Consider the following 20,573-nt stretch of genomic DNA (forward strand, 5'->3'; position numbering starts at 1 on the left):
CATGCCCGGCTAATTGGTCTATTTTTAGTAGAGATGGGGTTTCATCATGTTGGCCAGGCTAATCTCGAACTCCTGACCTCAGGTGATCCGTCTGCCTCAGCCTCCTAAAGTTCTGGGATTACAGGCGTGAGCCACCACTCCTGGTTCACCCTGCTAATTTTTAAATTTTTGTGTAGAGATGGGGTCGCACTGCATTTCCCAGACTTTTCTCTAACTCCTGGCCTCAAGCAATCCTCCTGCCTTGGCGTCCCAAAGTGTTGAGACTTACAGGCATGAGCTACCATGGTTTGCCCCACAATGCCTTTTATTAGGTACAGACCATGGTGTATATCGCCTTGTGAAAATGATTCTTTTCCTCCCTCTTCAAATTGAGGATGCTGCCTTGAAGCTCCAGCATGTTGCAGCCCCTTAAGTATTTCTCAGGATGAAGGAGAGACCATTCAGGGCAATTGCATCTTCCCTGGAGGGGCTGTTTTCACTGTGATGCCCGCAACATACCAAGAGTGGAATCCTGTCTGAGGAGTGCAGCTCCGGTCTCACCATGTGGGCAGGGCAATCACCATTAACCCCAGCCCACAGGCCTTCTTAATTGTTAACAGACATTCTGAGAAGTGCATGCCCTCCACAAAGCCTACACACATGTGTTCGAGTGTGACTCTAGGAAATGAGCAGATGTAATGGAAACCTCAGTATTGACTCATCCCGATTGTTATATATGAGTGGAATTTGCATCTCATTTAGTGTTTATTTCAGTAGATTCCAGTTGAGGTCATGGAGTGCTAAATTTATATGCATCATAGCACCTTTCTCAAAGGAATTGGGAGCTCTTTTGCAAAACAAAAGATGTCTTCTTTTCCCTTAGCCCTTGGTTTTGTTTGGCAGATGGTGTAGGTGAAGAGAACATTAGTTGTGGAAGAGGTATGTATGACTCCCTTGGGTACAGTCATTGATATTTGTTAAAGACAGCCTGAGAGTCTGTTGTCTTGGCCTTTCTGGGGGATGAAGAAGTTGTTACTGAGAAGCAGTTTTCCTGCCTTCTTGGAAAGACCTCAGTCAACACAGGAAACAATGGGAGAATAACATTTGATCCTACCTAAATGGACAACATTGTGTAATATGGGCGGAGAGGGCTTAGAAATTCAGAAAGAGATCAGTGTGGACCAGAATAAAAGGCTTTGAGAAAGAAAGGTGGACCTTGAGGAACTGGTAATATTTAAATAGAAATGGGTACTGGCTTAGGAGAGTTTCACCATCATAAAAGTTTGGGGCCTGGCATGGTGGCCCATGTCTGCAATTCCGGCACTTTGGGAGGTGGAGGCTGGGAGGCCGAGGTGGGAGGATTGCTTGAGTCTAGAAATTCGAGACCAGCCTGGGGAACATGATGAGACACTGCCTCTATAAAAAGTAAAAAAAAAAAAAAAAAAAAAGATTAGCAGGCATGGTGGTGTGTGCCTGTAGTCCCATCTACTTGGGAGGCTGAGGTGGGAAGATTGCTTGAGCCCAGGAGGTCGAGGCTGCAGTGAACTGTGGTCTTGTCATTGCACTCCATCCTGGACAAGAGAGTGAGGCCCTATCTCTTTTAAAAAAAAAAAAAAAAAAAAGTTTTGGAAGTAAGAATGAATGTAGCACATTTACAGGAGCAGGGAAAAGCTGTATCTATTACTTTTTAATGAATGAATTGTATGTATTTGGGGATATATTAAAGAATTTTTAGGCTGGGCGTGGTCCTCATGCTTGTAATCCCAGCACTTTGGGAGACCAAGTGGGAGGATTGCTTGAGCCCAGGAGTTCGAGACTAGCCTGGGCAACATGGTAAAACCTTGTCTCTACAAAAAATACAGAAATTAGCCAGGCCTGGCGGCGTGCACCTGTAGTCTCAGCTATCAGGAGGCTGAGATGGGAGGATCAGGATCACTTGAGCCCAGGAGGTCAGAGCCACAGTGAGCCATGATTGCGCCACTGCCCTCAGCCTGGGCTGCAGAACAGGATCCTGTCTTAAAAAAAAAAAATTGTTATTATTTGTCAATGTCATTGGTTTTCCAATCAGGCCTGTTCCACAGGTGATTGATACACAACCTGGGAAGAAGTTAGACACCTGCAGAACCCAATGCCAGTTAAGTCTTTTTTTTTTTTTTTTTTTAAACTCATTTGGGTCCTAGTATGCAAGGCCATGCAAGCTGTTTAGATGACCATACTGGAAAAATAAGGAATATTTTTCTTTGGTTATTCTTCCCTAAGTTTCTTTTTTATTCCAGCAGGGTGCAGTGGTGCAATCTCGGCTTACTGCAACCTCTGCCTCCTGGGCTCAAGCAATTTTCCCATCTCAGTCTCCTGAATAGCAGTCACGTGCCACCACACCCAGCTAATTTTTGTATTTTTAGTAGAGACAGAGTTTCACCATGTTGCCCAGGCTGGTCTTGAACTCCTGAGCTCAAGTGATCATCCCCACTCAGCCTCTCAATGTACTGGGGTTACAAGCGTGAGTCACCACGCCCAGCCTTAACTTTCTGGATGAAGCCATTTACTCCATAACTTTGCTTATTTTTTCCTGTTTTTTGTTTTTTTTTTTCTTTTTGTTTTTTTTTTGGGTGGGGGGGTGCTTCTTCATTCTGCCTCTTCAGAACAGCATGACTGTTTATCAGCCGTGGTGACTCTTAGCCCAATGTATAATTCCTAGATGATCTAGTCATCCCAAAGGTACTCAACTCCTACTTGGATTAGGCCCTGCTGGTGCAATGAGCAGCAAACAGACATTGTCCTTGTTCATCCTGGAAGTTACAGTGTAGTTGAAAGTGTATATTAAACAGTGAAGCACCGATAAATAGAGAATAACTGTAATAAGTGCTAGGGAGGAAGAGCGCAGTTGATGTGAGATTGATAGTTGATGGTCACAAGGGGACCTTTTTGACTTTGTTCTAGGTACTATTCACATCACTGGGTGTGAACTCAGTCATCTTCACTGTGCTGTGGGGTAGCTATCCACCACTGCTCCTCCCAGTAGAGGAGGAACTGAGGCTCAGTGAGTTGAATAACTTGCCCTGGGTCACAGCTAATAAATAACAGCCTGGATTTGAACCTGGTCAGTTAGTTCAAAATCCATCATCTTTCACTAGACCTCATTGCCAGTTTAGAGGTACTAGAGAAGTTTGCTTCAAGGGAACAAGAGTTCTCTTCCTTAGGCCCATATCTCTCAGGATCCTGCCTCCCTAAACAGAAGAGCTTGCAACACAGGACTTGTGTAAGCTCTCAGCAATCAGTAATGTGGAAACTAATCTTGTCAAGGAGATGACCAGTTACAGGATCCTTAGTTTAAGAAAATCTAAATGGCCTTGGGCTTACTCTTACCCAAATCTAGTCTTTTCTACTTCTTCCATCCTGCCTGTCTAGACCCTTAAGTTAGACCCCCAGAACCTCATTGGACTCTCCCCACCCTTAGTCCATCTAACACGAATGGCAGATTCCTTTTCCAAAGGCACTACTCCAGCTGGGCACAGTGCCTCACACCAGCAATCCAGCACTTTAGGAGGCTGAGGCAGGCGGATCACCTGAGGCCAGGAGTTTGAGACCAGCCTGGCCAATGTGGCGAAACTCTGTCTCTACTAAAAGTACAAAAATCAGCCAAGCGTGGTGGCGGGTGCCTGTAATCCCAGCTACTTGGAAGGCTGAGGCAGGAGAATCGCTTGAATCCAGGAGAAGGGGTTTGCAGTGGGCCAAAATCATACCACTACATTCCAGCCTGGGCAACAGAACGAGACTGTCTCAAAAACAAAACGAACAAAAATCAAAAGCTCTACTCCATAAATCAGTTGCATGGAAAAACATTTGGAGGCTCCTTGATCAAAGATTTGATGTGTGTGAAAGTGTTCTGAAGACAGTGGAGTGCTGTGCAATTGCACACCACTGTGTTCTGGTGACAGTAACACCCAATGTTGAGAAATAACTCTCTCACCTCTTAAAATTCGAGTTAAAAAGTGTATAATTGAACAGTTCTTAGAATATTCAGAGCTGTGGAACTATCACCACTATCTAATTTTAGAACATTTTGTCAACCCCTGAAAAAAATCCCAAATTCATTAACCAATCAGTCACCATTTCCTCCTCTCCCTAACCCAAAGCAACTGCTGATCTGCTTTTTTTCCTCTATGGATTAGCCTGTTTCAGACATTTCATGCAAGTGGAATGATACAAGATCGGTCTTTTGGCTTTTTTCACTTAGCATCATGTTTTCAAGGCTCATCCATCTTGTAGCATGAATTGGTACCTTTCCCATTGTTTGAATGATACCGCCATTGTATGGATGTGCCATGTTTTGTTTGTCCATTCATCTGTTAACATATATTTGGGTTGTTGACGCTTTTTACATGTCAGTCTGTTCTTACAAAGCATTCCACCTCTGGGTCCCTCAATGTCTAGTGCCTAGAGCGTTTTCTCTTTTTTTTTTTTTTGAGATGGAGTTTTGCTTTTGTTGCCCAGGCTAGAGTGCAATGGTGTGATCTCAGCTCACCGCAACTTCTGCCTCCTGGGTTCAAGCAATTCTACTGCCTCAGCCTCCCAAGTAGCTGGGATTACAGGTGTGAACCACCATGGCTGGCTAATTTTGTAGTTTTAGTAGAGAAGGGAATTCTCCATGTTGGTCAGGTGGGCCTCGAACTCCCAGCCTCAGGTGATCTGCCTGCCTCGGCCTCCCAAAGTGCTGGGATTACAGGTGTGAGCCACCACGCCCGGCCTAGAGTGTTTTCTTTAATCTTTTCCAGTTATTTCTACTTTTTTCTGTCCGAGCTTATCCTTTGGGCTTTCCCCCAATAGGACTGTTGAGTCAGTTACTGACTTAGCACAGTGAATATGCGTCCTAATACATTCTTTATTTTTTATTTTATTTTATTTTTGAGACGGAGTCTCGCTCTGTTGCCAGGCTGGAGTGCAGTGGCGCGATCTCGGCTCACCACAACCTCTGACTCCCTGGTTCAAGCGATTCTCCTGCCTCAGCCTCTCGAGTAGCTGGGATTATAGGCAAACACCATCATGCCCAGCTAATTTTTGTAGTTTTAGTAGAGACGGGGTTTCACCACGTTGGCCAGGCTGGTCTCGATCTCCTGACCTTGTGATCTGCCCACCTTGGCCTCCCAAAGTGCTGGGATTATAGGCGTGAGCCACCGCACCCAGCCTTACTTATATTCTTTTATGTGTCTACGTGTATTCATTTAGATGTTGAGCTCAGTTTTTTAAAAGACAATTCACCCAACAAGTATATATTGAATACCTACTATGTGCCTGGCACTAGTTGGCAGTTGGAATAAATCAGTGAACCAAGCTAAGATCCCTGCCTCCATGGGGACTTAAACATTTTGGCAAAGCTTACATTCTGGGTGACTTAAAATACACACACACACACACACACACACACACACACACACACACACACACACTTAACTGCTACTCTTTTATTTATTATTTTTTTTGAGACGGAGTCTCGCTCTGTTGCCCAGGCTGGAGTGCAGTGGTACAATCTCCGCTCCCTGCAACCTCAGCCTCTCCTGGGTTCAAACGATTCTCCTGCCTCAGCCTCCCAAGTAGCTGGGACTACAGGCACGTGCCAACATGCCCGGCTAATTTTTTGTATTTTTAGTAGAGATGGGGTTTCACCATGTTAGCCAGGATGGTCTTGATCTCCTGACCTTGTCATCTGCCCCCCTCGGCCTCCCAAAGTGCCGGGACTACAGACAAGAGCCACCGTGCCTGGCCAACTACTACTCTTTTATATTTCTGGGTGACTTTAAAATATATATATAGGTGTGTGTGTATGTGTGTGTGTGTGTATAGATATGTATATATAAATATAAATAAAATTAACTGCTACTCTTTTATATTTCCAGCACCTGACCATGAAATGTCATATGGTATAGATGGTCAATAAACATTATTTGATAACTGACATTGAAATTTTCTTTTTTCCTTTTTTTTTTTTTTTGTTTGTTTTGTTTTTTTTTAGAGACAAGATCTCACTGTGTCAGCCATGCTGAAATGCAGTGGTGCAATCATAGCTCACTGCAGCCTCTAAGTCCCAAGCTCAAGACATCTTCCTACCCCAGCCTCCTGGAAAGCCAGGACTGCACGTGCACACAGCCATGCCAGGCTAATTTAAAGAAAATTTATTTTAAGGGATGGGGTGTTGCTACTTTGCCCAGGTTGGTCTTTAACTCGTGGGCTCTAGTGATCATCTGCCTTGGCCTTTCAAGACGCTGGGATTACAGGTGTGAGCCACTGTGCCTGGCCGTGAAATTTTCTTAATAATTTTTAATGAAGCCACTTAATCCTCTCCAGACTGTAAAGATCTCTGTCTTATTTCGTACTGGCACTGTAATCACAGTTGCTGAGTTTATTCATGAAGGTGAAAGTGTCCCTTTGGCGAATAGAAACAAACTTGGGAAAAGCACTTCTCACTTCCTCCTGTATGTGTCTTTACTCCAGACCCTGGCCTGTGTTTTGCTCCTCCTGGAGGCCATTAAGTAGGAGTCTTATTCTAAGGATTGGAATCTTCTGGAGATTCTGTGGGAGACAGAGGACGGAGGGTGGTGTGTGTTCCTTACTTACTGTCAAAATTGAGAAATTTCCCTCTTGGCCGGGCATGGTGGCTCACGCCTGTAATCCCAGCACATTGGGAGGTGGAGGTGGGTAGGTCACTTGAGCTCAGGAGTTCGAGACCAGCATGGGCAACATCTCGAAAACCCATCTCTACAAAAAATTTAAAAATTAGCTGGGCATCGTGGCATGTGCCTATAGTCTCAGCTACTTGGGAGGCTGAGGTGAGAGGATTACTTGAGCCTGGGAGGCAGAGGCTGCAGTGAGCCGTGATTGCACCACTGCACTCCAGCCTGGGTGACAGCAAGACCCTGTCTCAGAAAAAAAAAAAAAAAAAAAAGAAAAAGGAAATGTTTAGGCCGGGCACAGTGGCTTATGCCTGTAATCCCAGCACTTTGGGACGCCAAGGCGGGTGGATCACGAGGTCAGGAGTTCCGAGACTAGCCTTGCCCACATGGTGAAACCCTGTCTCTACTTTAAAAAAATGCAGAATTAGCTGGGCGTTGTGGTCTGTGCCTGTAATCCCAGCTACTCAGGAGGCTGAGGCAGGAGAATTGCTTGAACGCAGGAGGCGGAGGTTGCAGTGAACCGAGATCGCGCCATTGCACTCCAGCCTGGGCAATAGAGTGAGACTTCGTCTCAAAAAAAAAAAAAAAACAAAAACAAAAACAGAAGAAGGAAATGTTTCTCCTCCTTTCTGTCCCATAGTAGGCAAGTGTTTGTTCAGTTACTGACAAAGTCGAGGCTTGTCTGGTGGTGAACATGGTGCCTACTAGGAAGGGCTGCCAGCTCCTTACACACCTTGCTATAATTAGTTGTAATTAGGCATCTTTCTTCCCCAGTGTCTTTTGGAACTGATAGTAGCAGGGCTTTCACAGAACACTGTGAGAATTAATGAGTTAATATTTGCAGAGGCCTCTGGAAATGTTAAGTGCTTGGTGTTCTTATCTTCTCTCTGAGCTTGGTTGCCTTATAAGGCTGTCCACTGAGGCTGAGGGACCTTTGTGGGGAACAGGGCCAGCCCTGAGCCCAGATGACTGTGGCAGTCCATGACTGTTCCCGGAATGGGCTCAGGTTTCTTATTTTAATAGGAATGACACTACTTTTTTTTTTTTTTGTAATTATTAGTGTCAGTCTCGCACGTACTTTCCCCCCAACTTTACTACATCTATTTTTAGCACCTCATCTCCATGGTTCTTGCCCTCTCAAAACCAATTATAGTAAAATCCATTTAAACAGAGATACTCCAGTCCAAGTTAAGTTCTTACATTTTCTTTTCCTGGAAAGATAGGCTACTTATCCCAAGAATTATTTGAAGTTGGTTCATTCTTTTTTAAGTGCTGTATTGAGGAGGAGAGAAAAATAGTAGATAAAACATTCCAATAGTACTTCATTTTTTTTAAACCAATGAATTAAAATCCACACATATTCAATAGAGAGGTCTATAAAAGTTTGTTAACTTCTCATGAAACAGACATTTCCAACAATAGTATGTAAACATGGACATTTACATATTCAAAAGCTACTTTCCAAGATTTTTCCCTCCTACCCAGGTTGTCAGTATAATGACATCGATTTAGGCTATCATAGGCCTTTTGAGCTGGAAGGTCACCCAAGAACCGTATTTGTTTAACACCCTCACTTAAAAAGATGGGGCCACTGAAGTCCAAGGTGGTGTCTGGAACACATTCCAGTTTTTTAAGCAGGCTGGACTTTTCTAATTGACATTGTTTTTGTTTGTTTGTTTGTTTTGAGGCAGAGCCTTGCTCTGTTGCCCAGGCTGGAGTGCAGTGGCACCATCTTGGCTCACTGCAGCCTCTGCCACTCAGGTTCAAGTGATTCTCCTGCCTCAGCCTCCTGAGTAGCTGGGAGTACAGGCATGCACCACTATGCCCAGCTAATTTTTGTATTTTTTAATAGAGATAGGTTTTTGCCAGGCTGGTCTCAAACTCCTGGCCTCAAGCAATCCTCCCACCTTGGCCTCCCAAAGTTCTGGGATTACATGCATGAGCCACCATGCCTGGCCAGCATTGTTCGAATTGATCCCTATTTCTCTCTCTGGAAGGAGAGTGGGCATCTCTTTCTGGATCCCTTGAGGTCAAGTAAAATAACCCCTATACTTTTCAAATTTTGTAAGTAGAGAGAATGATAGCTACTCTCAGCCTGCTCCAAGAAGAGTGCTATCACAGGTGAATCCTGTAAGATAAATACCAATATTTGGTGCGGTGGGGAGCATCAAGAAAGTGGCACAAGGTTAGAATGTTAGAACATTATTTCTTTTTTCTTTTTTAAGAGTCTCACTCTGTTGCCCAGGCTGGAGTTCAGTGGCATGATCTCGGCTCAGTGCAACCTCCGCCTCCCCAGGTTCAAGCAATTCTCCTGCCTCAGCCTCCTGAGTAGCTGGGACTACAGGCATGTGCCACCACGCCTGGCTAATTTTGTATTTTTAGTAGAGACTGGGTTTCATCATGTTGGCCAGGCTGGTGTCGATCTCTTGACCTCATGATCTGCCTGCCTCAGCCTCTCAAAGTGTTGGGATTACAGGCGTGAGCCGCATCCAGCTAATTTTGTATTTTTAGTAGAGACAGGGTTTTGCCATGTTGTCCAGGCTGGTCTTGAACTCCTGACCTCAGGTGATCCGCCCACCTCAGCCTCCCAAAGTGCTGGGATTACAGGTGTGAGCCACCGTGCCCAGCCAGAGTGTTATTTCTTAAATCTTTGTTGACCTTAGAAATATTTATTTTTGTCGTGCCCCCTCCTCCCCCACCCCCTCCTCTCCTTTTGATGTCATCAGAACAACAGGCAGTGGGTCATTGATTGCTGTCTATGCTGGCTCAGTGGCTGTCGCCATTTTTATTAATGATACACTTCTTTTCGCCAGGGCAGATAGCTTGTAAGTAAACATAAATCCTATTTAGAAACAATGAACAAATATTTTTGGTGAGCCTTGGACCTCCTGTATCTGTGGATGTTTATAGGCAATCTCTTGTTTATAGGAAATGGTGCAGAGTTGAGGAACTTTGGCCTCAGTAGTGGTGGGAAGTGGGACAAAGTAGGCCAGGTCTGTTGCTGGTTAGCTCACTTGATTAGAACAGTATGCTAATGAACCCAAGGTCACTGGGCCATCTGTGTATGGGTCAGCCAGCTCTGCTCTGCTGGGATCCCAGACCTTGGCCAGGAGGCTGGGCAATATGTATCACTGGTCATGAGGCCGGAGCAGATAGAAAGATCAGTACTAATCCGTCACCAGACCCAGAAAACAAATTCAAAACACATGCCCTATGGATAGTACACTATCTGTGGCTCTTTAATTTATGAGGGTATCATAACAGATTTTTGTAATTTTCTTAAACAGATTTTTTTTTCTGATTAATAATAAACTGCATGTTATTGAGGATCCTGGGAAAATAAAGTATGAGGAAGGAAACAAAATTCACTATTTTTCCCAGCACTGACAGAGGTTACATTTTGGATTTTTCCATCCTTGATGTTCCCTTCCCTTGGCCTCCATGACACCACACTTGGTTGACTTTCCTCTTCCTCCCTGACCCCACCCCTACATTCTCCTTTTCCCCTTTCCTCCTGAATTTGGCTTGTAAATGATAGTGTTCCTTGGCACTCCGTCCTGCCTCTTCATTTCTCGTGGTCCTGCATTCCCATGGATGGTGTCCTTTGTCCCAGACTTCTGTCCTGAAATCCAGATTCAAAGATCCAAGTGTCTACACCACTTCTAGCTGGATGCTAATGTGTCCAGTAAATGATCCCCTTATCCCCACCATCTAACCTGCACCCCTGTGTTCCTCCTCTCTAGGAGTCACAGCCTTCACCTAGGTGCCCAGCCCTTCCCCTCCCCTCCCTGACTAATCCATCACCAGATTCAACAATTCTACTTTCCAAATATCTCTCAAATCTGTTGACTTACCTTTACCCTGCTGCTGTCCTATTTCAGGCTACCAGCAAAGCTTCTGCACAGCCATTTCAGCCTTAAGCCACTTTCCTTGTTTCCAGCCTTGTCTGCTTTTCAGTCCTTGCTGTCTTCAGGAGAGCCAGCTAACCTTTCACAGAATGGAAATATACTCTGCCACTCTGCTTAAAACCTTTAACTGTGTCCACTTGCCAGATGGTCTCATCTGCAACTTTCTCCTGCAGACCCTATGCTTCAGTCATACCGAGCTTCATTCACTTCTGATAATGCATCATCTCTTTCATCTATCCAGTAAGCATTTTTATGGATAATCAATTATCAGATATCAGGTTCTGGGAGGGTGCTTCAGGAAACTCAAGAGTCTTGGATGGGGAGAGGCCAAGACAGACCTGGGAGTATAGGCTTGGCTGGAAAGTCTGTATTGACTGGCCTTGGGAAAACCTGGAATAAGACTGCTTGGTGTGTTAGGGCAGTGTGTGTACACACTCTGCCTTGTGCGATGTTTGACAGCTTTTCCTCTGGTCTTTGAAAAGGATGACTCCTTGGAAGAGTTATTCCAGGAGCATGTTGCATAGAAGAAAAGACATACTGATGTCTTCATCTAAGAGAAGTGCTTCTGAAGTTGGTCAATTTGTTTTTGTGTTAGCCTTATACTTAAAATTACTGTGTATGGGGCTAAGTTTTAACGTAACACAATGAATCCCCTTTGTAACATTCCAAGTGATATGTGCCATTGCAATGTGGGATTTTCAGAATTGGGAAATCCCTGAGAGCCAGGATGTAGAGTGTTGTTTCCCAATACCCTAGTGGTTTATGAGTTGGGAGAATTGTGTATACCCTAGCGATGTTCCCTGTTTCTTCTTGGGTTTGTTTTGCATCCCTCTTGCCAGATAAACTAAACAAAATGATGAAGAGTAGAAAAGGCTGTCCATTAGTGGAGTTAATGTTTGTGTAAATGTTAATCCATAGGACATACAGTGTTGCTTTCCAGTCTAACAGACTCTTTGGCCCCTTATCCTACCCTCTTGGTGATTTTCATTGTTTTGTTGTTGTTGTCCTTTGTTTTGTTTTGTTTTGCTTGAGACAGAGTCTCCCTCTGTCGCCCAGGCTGGAGTGCAGTGGTGTGATCTCTGCCCACTGCAACCTCTGCCTCCCGGGTTCAAGCCATTATTATGTCTCAGCCTCCCTAGTAACAGGTGCCCACCACCATGCCTGGCTAATTTTTCTTTTTGAGATGGAGTCTCGCTCTGTTGCCCAGGCTGGAGTGCAGTGGTACGACCTTGGCCCACTGCAAGCTCCGTCTCCTGGGTTCATGCCATTCTCCTGCCTCAGCCTCCCGAGTAGCTGGGATGTGCCACCAGGCCCAGCTAATTTTTTGTATTTTTAGTAGAGGTGGGGTTTCACCGTGTTAGCCAGGATGGTCTCGATCTCCTGACCTCGTGATCCGCCTGCCTCGGCCTCCCAAAGTGCTGGGATTACAGGTGTGAGCCACTGCACCCTGCCTTTTTTTCTGTTTTTGAGACAGAGTCTCCCTCAGTCGCCTAGGCTGGACTACAGTGGTGCAATCTCGACTCACTGCAAGCTCTGCCTCTTGGGTTCAAGTAAGTCTCCTGTCTCAGCCTCCCAAATAGCTGGGATTACAGGCATGCACCACTATGCCCAGCTAATTTGTGTATTTTTAGTAGAGACGGGGTTTTGCCATGTTGGCTAGGTGGGTTTTGAACTCCTGACCTCAAGTGATCCTGCCCGCCTTGGCCTTCCAAAGTACTGGGATTACAGGTGTGAACCACTGCTCCTGGCCTTGTTTTGTTTTTTGTTGGGGGAGTTTGTTCTTCTAAGAGACAGATGGACCTTTTTTTTATTTTTATTTTTTTAAGCTAGTTTAAGAATACAGTAAAATCTTCTGATTGTGTTTGTGAACACTGGTAGGTTTGTTACAATGTTAAAATATTTTACTTCTGTAGAAAGAAAACCAAATATATCACGATGACTGGATATTTAAGCTTTTACCAGAACATTTGGAATTGTCCAATGCCCTCTGTTTTTTCTTAGAGCCTTCATGGTGCTGATTCACAGTGAACCTTCACTACTTAGTCCCAGATAACTGATTATCAGTGGTTGAAATCAACGTGGAGATGTCTCAGAAAACCTGTTTTATAGAAACTTCTAGAAAGTTGCAAACCAAAAAAACATGAATGTCATCATGTCATCTCATTTTTCTGTTTTTGAAAAATTATGAAGTTTTCAGTAATTGTGACTTTTTAAACATGTAAAAGTATGGAAGTACATCCAGTAAACAATGCCATGTACATTCCCCCTCAATTTCCCAACCCCATCCCCATTTGCTGTCCAGAAGTGTGACCACAGTTAACGGTTTAATGTGCATCTTTTTATGTACTTAACATGTCTGTAAATATGTCTTTTATCTTTTTTGCTCCCTCTTTTAAATTTTAACTTGACGTTAAAGTTTAGAACTTCCATGTTAGTATGTGCAGCTGTAACACATTCTTTTTTTAGTAGCCACATAGTGTTTCAATGTATGGATGTTCCAAAATATATTACCCATTTCCTGCTGTAACATTTTAACTTTTTAGAATTCAACTATGTGTACTTTTGTAATTAAAAATGTGAATTTTATTTTGCCTATGTGTTCTTCATGAAACACGATATGTACGTTGGTATAGTTGATATGTGTTACCATACGTAACACATAGGTATATGAAGAATAACTACATATATACTTGAACAACTTATGTGCTGTTTAAAAATCTTTTTTAACCATATGTCATTTATAATATAACTTGTTAATTCTAGAACTTGTTTAATATTGAGATTCCTAGAAATGCAATTTCTGGATGAAAGTGATGTGCGTTTAATTTTGAGTAGATAAGGCCGAATTGCTCTCTACAATTACATCAATTTATAGTCCCATCTAGCTTGTCCATTTCTCAATACCCTTTCTAACATTTGAGATTGTGTTTCTTTTTCTTTTTTAAGAGAGGGGATCTTGCTATGTTGCTCAGGCTAGCTTCAAACTCCTGGGCTCAAGGGGTCCTCCCGCCTCAGTCTCCCCAGTAGCTGGGACGCAGGTGCACACCGCCTGGCCTGGCTTAGAGATTGTCCTTCTTACTCTGTAATCATTGGCTAGAAGAGGGCATTTCATTGTTGTGTTTTGTATTTTTCTTATTAAAGAAGTGTATCATTTTCAAGTGTTCATTAGCTATTTTTAGTTTTTCCACAATTTGGTTATCTTTTGTCTATTTTTCTGTTAGATTGCATTTTTGATTTTGTAGGCACTCTTTATTACTATTATTATTATTATTTTTCGAGGCAGGGTCTCACTCTGTCACCCAGGCTGGAGTGCAGTGGCGTGATCTTGTCTCACTGCAACCTCCGTCTCCTGGGTTCAAGCGATTTTCTTGCCTCAGCCTCCTGAATAGCTGGGGCTACAGGCATGTGCCACCAGGCCTGTCTAATTTTTGTATTTCTAGTAGAGACTGGGTTTTACCATGTTGGCCAAGCTGGTCTCAAACTCCTGACCTCAAGTGATCCATCCGCCTCAGCCTCCCAAAATGCTCGGCCTCCCAAATCTGTTTTAGTGGTACAGGTACTCATGCACATGAGTACCGCTCCTGGCCTTGGCACTCTTTATACGTTGTAAACATTGATTGTTTTTGTCTTTAATATATTTTAGAAATATTTTCCCTAGTCTTTTTGCTTGTCCTTTTAAAGATAGGCCCCTGTTATCATTTGCTGTAAATGTCATCATCTGCATAGAAAATCCAAGATTATCAGTTGAAAAAAAAAAAAAAACAGAACTAATAAACTTCAGTAAGATGTCCAGATGAGAAAAACACAAAAATCACAGGGTTTTAATTTTATTTTTAAAAATATGGCTGGGCGCAATGGCTCAGGCCTATAATCCTAGCACTTTGGGAAGCTGTGGTGGGTGGATTACCTGAGGTTGGGTGTTCAAGACCAGCCTGGCCAACATGGCGAAACCCCATCTCTATTAAAAATACAAAAATTATCCGGGCATGGTGGTGCACGTCTGTAGTTTCAGCTGCTCAGGAGGCTGAGGCAGGAGAATCGCTTGAAACTGGGAGGCAGAGGTAGCAGTGAGCCAAGATCATGCCATTGCACTCCAGCCTGGGCGACAGAGTGAGATTGCATCTCAAAAATGTGTGTGTGTGTGTGTGTGTGTGTGTGTGTGTCAGCATAGGAAAGTAGTACAGGTAGAGAGCATTTCTAATCTCAAAATGCCCCACAATCTGAAGCTTTTTGAGCACTGACGTACCACAAGTGGAAAATTCCACACTTGACCTCATGTGACAGGTTTCAGTCAAAACTTGGTTTTCATGCACATGAGTATTAAAAATGTTTTATAAAACTACCTTCAGGCTATGTTTATAAGGTGTATATGAAGCGAATGAATTTTGTGTTTAGACTTGGTTCCCATCCCCAACATATCTCATTATTTTTAAAATATGGAAATATTCCAAAATCTGAAACACATCTGGTCCCAGTCATTTCACATAAGGGATTCTCACCCTGTACTAATCAATTAGAACACATAATAAAAAACAGATACCATTCTTGACAGCAATGAAAAACAAATTTGCAAGAACAGCTTGAAGAATACTGCATTCTGAAGGACAGAAAAGACCTGAATAGGTCTGGTGCAGTGGCTCATGTGTGTAATCCCAGCACTTTGAGAGGACGACATGCATGGATTGCTTGAGCCCAGGAGCTCGAGACCAGCCTGGGCAACATGGCAAGACCTTGTCTCAACAAAAGAAACCCAAAGAATTAACTGGACATGGTGATGTGTGCCCGTAGTCCCAGTTACTCTGGAGGCTTAGGTGGGAGGATCACTTGAGCTTGGGAGGTTGAGGCTGCAGTGGGCCGTGATCACACCACTGCACTTCATTCTGGGTGATAGAGCAAGACCCTGCTTCAAAAAAAAAAAAAGAAAGAAAATACCAAGTAAATGGAGATACAGATTGTATTTCTGTGGATAGATATTGTAAAGTCTCTTTTCTCCAAATTAAACATTAAATGAAATTCTGATAAAAATTCCCAAGTACTTTAAACAGAATTTGACAAGCTAATCTATAAGTCAGCTGGACTTATAAACATACATAAAGCCAAGAAAATTTGGAAAAGAACTCGGGGGGACTTTCCACACCGGATATCAAAACCCATTTTGAAATATTGTAGTTAAAAGAGACAAATCACCAAATGAAACTGAAGTCCACAGAGGTAAAGTTACTAGTTTAAGGTCACAGAGCTAGATGGGCATTTTTCATGCGGGTCAGTTGAAGTGTTTCTCAGTGGCTGGACTGATTGCATGTGATTCTAACTTTCAGCAATGTTGTAGACTTTATCGGGAGGCTTCTTCATTTCCCAATTAGAAAGATACTATCTTTTGGGAAAATTACTTATGCAGGGAATCAACCTATTAGACATTTGCCGAACTTGAATAAAATGAGAAAAGGAAAATCTGTCAAGCCTTCGTGTTTCATGTTGTAGTGTTTTCCCTGTAAATGCTTCCTCTATTGTAGCAGAGTAGTTCAGAGTTGAAGGGTCATCAGGGCAGAAGATGAAGAGAGTCCGGGGTCTATCTAGGAACAGTAGTTAGGAATGGTTTAGAAACTTTCAGTCAATTGACAGGCTAGTTAGTATTTTAGTGACATTATCAGTTAAAAGTTTAAAATACTTACCTATTTGAAGTCATGAAAATGGCTAATTTTGATTTATTTTCATCCCATGCTTTAAATTTATTTGTGCTGAATTGTGAAGATGATGAGCTTAAAAGTACAGGTTAGAGATTTAGAATTTGTATGTAATTACTCTTGTGAAAATTTGTTTTCTTAGGGAGGTGTGTGTGTGTGTGAGAGAGAGTGTGTGTGTGTGAGTGTGCGCATGAGCTGGTCAGCTGCAGAACCTTCTGGTTAGCAAACCTGATAGCATCTAGGGTGGAGCTAAGGGGGAAACATGTTTAATCACATACTCACCAGCTTCCTGGCACTAAGAAATTATCACCAGACAGCAGCCACCAGGATAATTTAACTTTAGTTCTGGACAGGCAAATGTGCAGCAATCATTTAAAGTAAATTTCTTAAAGAACATGTAGGAATTATGTCACTACTTTGTGGTGATGTTTCCATAAATCCTCTATAGTGTTTTTGTTATGTTTGTGTTTCTTATTAAAAATTCCTTAAGTACAAACATCATTTTCAAATATCATATTTAGTATTCCTACATTTGAAAGCCAAACATGACAAATTATTTTTTACAAATTTTCTAGGTACCTACTATGTGCCAAGGATAATGTCATATCCTCACATGTTTTATGGGTTAGGTGGAAAGTATTACACACAAGGTTAAAAAGGCTGTTTTACTGGCCGGGCATGGTGGCTCATGCCTGTAATCCCAGCACTTTGGGAGGCTGAGGCAGGTGGATCACAAGGTCAAGAGATCGAGACCATCCTGGCCAACATGGTGAAATCCCGTCTCTACTAAAAATACAAAAATTAGCTGGGTGTGGTGGCACGCACCTATAGTCCTAGCTACTCGGGAGGCTGAGGCAGGGGAATTGCTTGAACCCGGGAGGCGGAGGTTGCAGTAAGTCAAGATCGCAACACTGCACTCCAGCCTGGGTGACATAGCGAGACTCTGTCTCAAAAAAGAAAAAAGAAAAAAAAAGCTGGTTGCTATGATAGAGATAAGAATAAAGTAATAACCAGGTAGGTAATTGAGAAAAAGTTCTTAAAAGCAGTAGGGGGCTGGGATGGGTAGGATAATCTACTGTTGTTTTTCTTTTTCTTATTTTTTTATTTTATTTTATTTTATTTTTATTTTATTTTATTTTGAGATGGAGTCTTGCTCTGTCACCCAGGCTGGAGTGCAGTGGTGCGATCTTGGCTTCCACCTCCTGGGTTCAAGTGATTCTCCTGTCTCAGCCTCCTGAGTAACTGGGATTACAGGCACCCTCCATCATGTCTGGCTAATTTTGTATTTTTAATTTAGATAGGGTTTCGCCAGTTGGCCAGGCTGGTCTTGAACTCCTGACCTCAGGTGATCCACCCACCTCAGCCTTTCAAAGTGCTGGGGTTACAGACTTGAGCTACTGCGCCTGGCCGAAATTTTCTTAAATAATAATAATACTAAATTTTCTTAGTAATAGAGGTCTTGCTATGTTACCCAGGCTCGTCTCGAACTCCTGGGCTTAAGCAGTCCTCCTGCCTCAGCCTCCCAAGGTGCTGAGATTATAGGCGTTGAGCCACCTCACCTGGCCTGCTGTTATTTTATATAGAAATCTGCGCCTCATTTAGGCATGAGAGTGTTCCGTAGCACCTCCTTTGTAGGAACTTAATAATGTACAAGAGAAACCCAAATGTACGTTTCTGAACAAATTTAAATAGATACCTGAGTGTGGATTTTAGAAAACTTTCTATCTGGGCTCATTGTTTTCATCTTTTTCTTGTGTAGATAACCACACCCAAGAAAATCATAGGAAAAATACATAACAAATGCACTTTTAAAACAAAATATCCCAAGTTTATAATTCATGGTATTGGATGGATGTATTTTACTGACACAAGAGTTGCATTTTCAATAAATATTTCTTTTTATCTACTTCATGTGCTGGGGAAATGGGTGAAACAGGGAATTCTATGATCGCAGCAAGTCCCTTTCTTCTACAGGTTCATTTTGTAGCCATCATGTTCATTGCAGCTATCCCAAGTGGGGTTGAGAACCAGGACCTGGCTCCAGGTCTCCGAGCAGTTGAAATGTACCTGGCAAAGTCCATGCCTTAGGCAGGAGAGCTGCTCAGCCTCACTTCCAGCCTGTTTACTCTGGGTTCTGAATCGCCGTGGGCTTTGTTATCTGGTTTCCCAGCCTCGCCTACCAGTTCTCTGTCTACCAGTGTTGTACCAGGGCTCTTTTTATTCTTTCTTCGACTGGAGATCCAGACTCTCAAACATCTGTAATACTTGTCCCTATCTCTTTGTTCATGTGTTCCGGCACCTTGTGGATATTTGTAGGTCACCAGTTCTGCTTTTGCTTGAAGACCTGTCTGGCAGGGCTTGGCACCTCTTTCCTCTTTGTGTATGCAGGGCCTGGTTGCCTAGCTACCTCGGAGGGGACAGTGAGGGCTGGGCTGCAAAGGGGAAGGCCTGGCAAATCCTGAGTTAGGCCTGTGCTTGTTCTCTAGTATGGGCGGGGCTTCCAGGGGCTCAGGGGCCATCTATTGTAGGAGTAACGGCCACTTCCCATCCATTTCTTCTTTCGTCTCTCTTTTAGTTATTTATTTCTGCTTGTGTCTCAGGACCAAACAATCTGCAGGGTGAATTGGTGGGGAGGAAGTTGAGGGTTGGGGGTGGGGAGGGGAGGACCTCCCGGAAATAGTAAATCTTAGTTTAGTTTTTCAGAGATAAGTAGTCACATGGGTCCCTTGCCAAGAGAGAAGATCTCTCTCAGGAAGAAAGGCAGGATGGTGCGGGGGTTTAAACTAGGTTTGTATTACAAAAATCTGGATGGGTTTTTTGTTTTTTTTGTTGTTGTTGTTTTGTTTTTTTGGAGACTGAGTCTCACTCTGCCACCCAGGCTGGAGTGCCATGGCACGATCTTGGCTCACTGCAACCTCTGCCTCCCGGGTTCAAGCCATTCTCTTGCCTCAGCCTTCTAAGTAGCTGGGACCTCAGACGTGCACCACCATGCCCGGCTCATTTTTGTATTTTTTGTAGAGACAGAGGTTCACCATGTTGGCCAGGCTGGTCTCTAACTCCTGACCTCAAGGAATCTGCCCACCTCCGTCTTCCAAAGTGCTGGGAACAGGCATGAGCCACCATGCTGGGCCTTGGATGGGCTTTGATGTCTTCATAGTGCATGAGTTTTGGGTCAGCCAGTGTTAGGTTTGACATCCTGGTCTCCTAACCTGGCTCTGACACTTATTAGCTGTGCTATCTTGGGCAAGTTACTTTCTTTGAAGCTAGTTCTTCTTGAATAAATTGGGAATAACAAAATCCACAACATAGAGTTGCATATGGATGGTAGCGATAATTATAGATCATGCCTCAATAGAATGTAAATAGGTGCTCAACAGGTGGAAAGTTGCTATCATTGTTATAATTATTTGAAAGGGGATATCACTGAGACATGAAATGAGGGCAGGTTATAGAGCAGTCGGTCAATAAGCCCAGCTTTTGTGACATTGGAAATTTAATTATAAGTTAGTTACTAAGGGTGCATGGTTATACTGGATTCATAACTAGGTTCATACTCTGCTCCGTTTGGCTGGCTAGGTGATCTTTAACCTCTCTAGATCTTAATCTTTTCATCTGTTTGTAAGAAGAGAATGAGGATAATAATGCCTACTTCGTGGAGTTGTGAGGATTAAAGGAGATATGATATGTAAAATGTTACACAGTGTCTGGTACAGAATTTGATCTAGAAAGAAGGCCCTTATTATTAGACATAGTAACCTTTAAAGCACGGTAAAAGCGGTGCTCAGTGATCAGTGACAATTTCTTTTTTGTGCTCTAGTCCTTTGAAGCATGGCTGTTGTATTTCCAAGTTTTTTGACACTCTTGGATTTTATTTTCTTGGGTACACGCGCGCACACACACACAAATTAGCATTAGCCCATTATTAAATATTAACTTTTTATTCCATGTATTTATTTATTTATTTAGAGACAGGGTTTCACTCTGTCATCCACCCAGGCTGGAGTGCAGTGGTACAATTTCAGCTCACTGCAGCCTCAGCCTCCCAGACTCAAGCAGTCCTCCCACCTCAGCCTCCCAAGTAGCTGGGTCTACAGGCATGCATCACCACGCCCAACTAATTTTCTGTAGTTTTTGTAGCGACAAAGTCTCACTATGTTGCCCAGGCTGGTCTCAAACTCCTAGACTAAAGTGATCCTCCCGCCTTGGCCTCTCACTCAAAGTGCTGAGATTATAGGCATTTATTCCATTATTACTACTTTTATGGAAATTCCTATCTTCCTTCAAAAGCTAAGGCTAGGTTCCTTAATATATTGAAACGTATATATAGCATGAGT

The 20,573-nt window shown here is 43.1% G+C and overlaps 1 protein-coding gene and 1 long non-coding RNA gene across 21 annotated transcripts in view, besides 2 other annotated features; both read left to right on the top strand.

The window, feature by feature from the left end:
* Positions 1-20,573, top strand: part of RBPMS (RNA binding protein, mRNA processing factor) — a 187,716-nt gene that overhangs the window by 20,225 nt on the left and 146,918 nt on the right. The gene's annotated exons all lie outside the window — the stretch shown is intronic.
* Positions 388-682: a silencer, noted in NCBI's record as "tiled region #541; HepG2 Repressive non-DNase unmatched - State 14:Gen5', and K562 Repressive non-DNase unmatched - State 21:Repr". NCBI's record gives its function as "represses a minimal TATA promoter and a strong SV40 promoter by Sharpr-MPRA in HepG2 and K562 cells {active_cell/tissue: HepG2 | K562}" and the evidence as "EXISTENCE:reporter gene assay evidence [ECO:0000049][PMID:27701403]".
* Positions 7,425-7,865: an enhancer, noted in NCBI's record as "heart enhancer 24". NCBI's record gives its function as "activates a minimal c-fos promoter by transgenic reporter assays in zebrafish embryonic heart {active_cell/tissue: heart(embryonic)}" and the evidence as "EXISTENCE:transgenic organism evidence [ECO:0001131][PMID:20075146]".
* Positions 10,549-15,110, top strand: LOC112268025 (uncharacterized). Its single transcript, XR_002956700.2, has 2 exons — positions 10,549-10,795; positions 12,557-15,110. It is a non-coding gene; the product is annotated as an uncharacterized LOC112268025 (long non-coding RNA).

This window comes from Homo sapiens, chromosome 8, assembly GCF_000001405.40.
Source record: "Homo sapiens chromosome 8, GRCh38.p14 Primary Assembly".
Classification (NCBI taxonomy): Eukaryota; Metazoa; Chordata; class Mammalia; order Primates; family Hominidae; genus Homo; species Homo sapiens.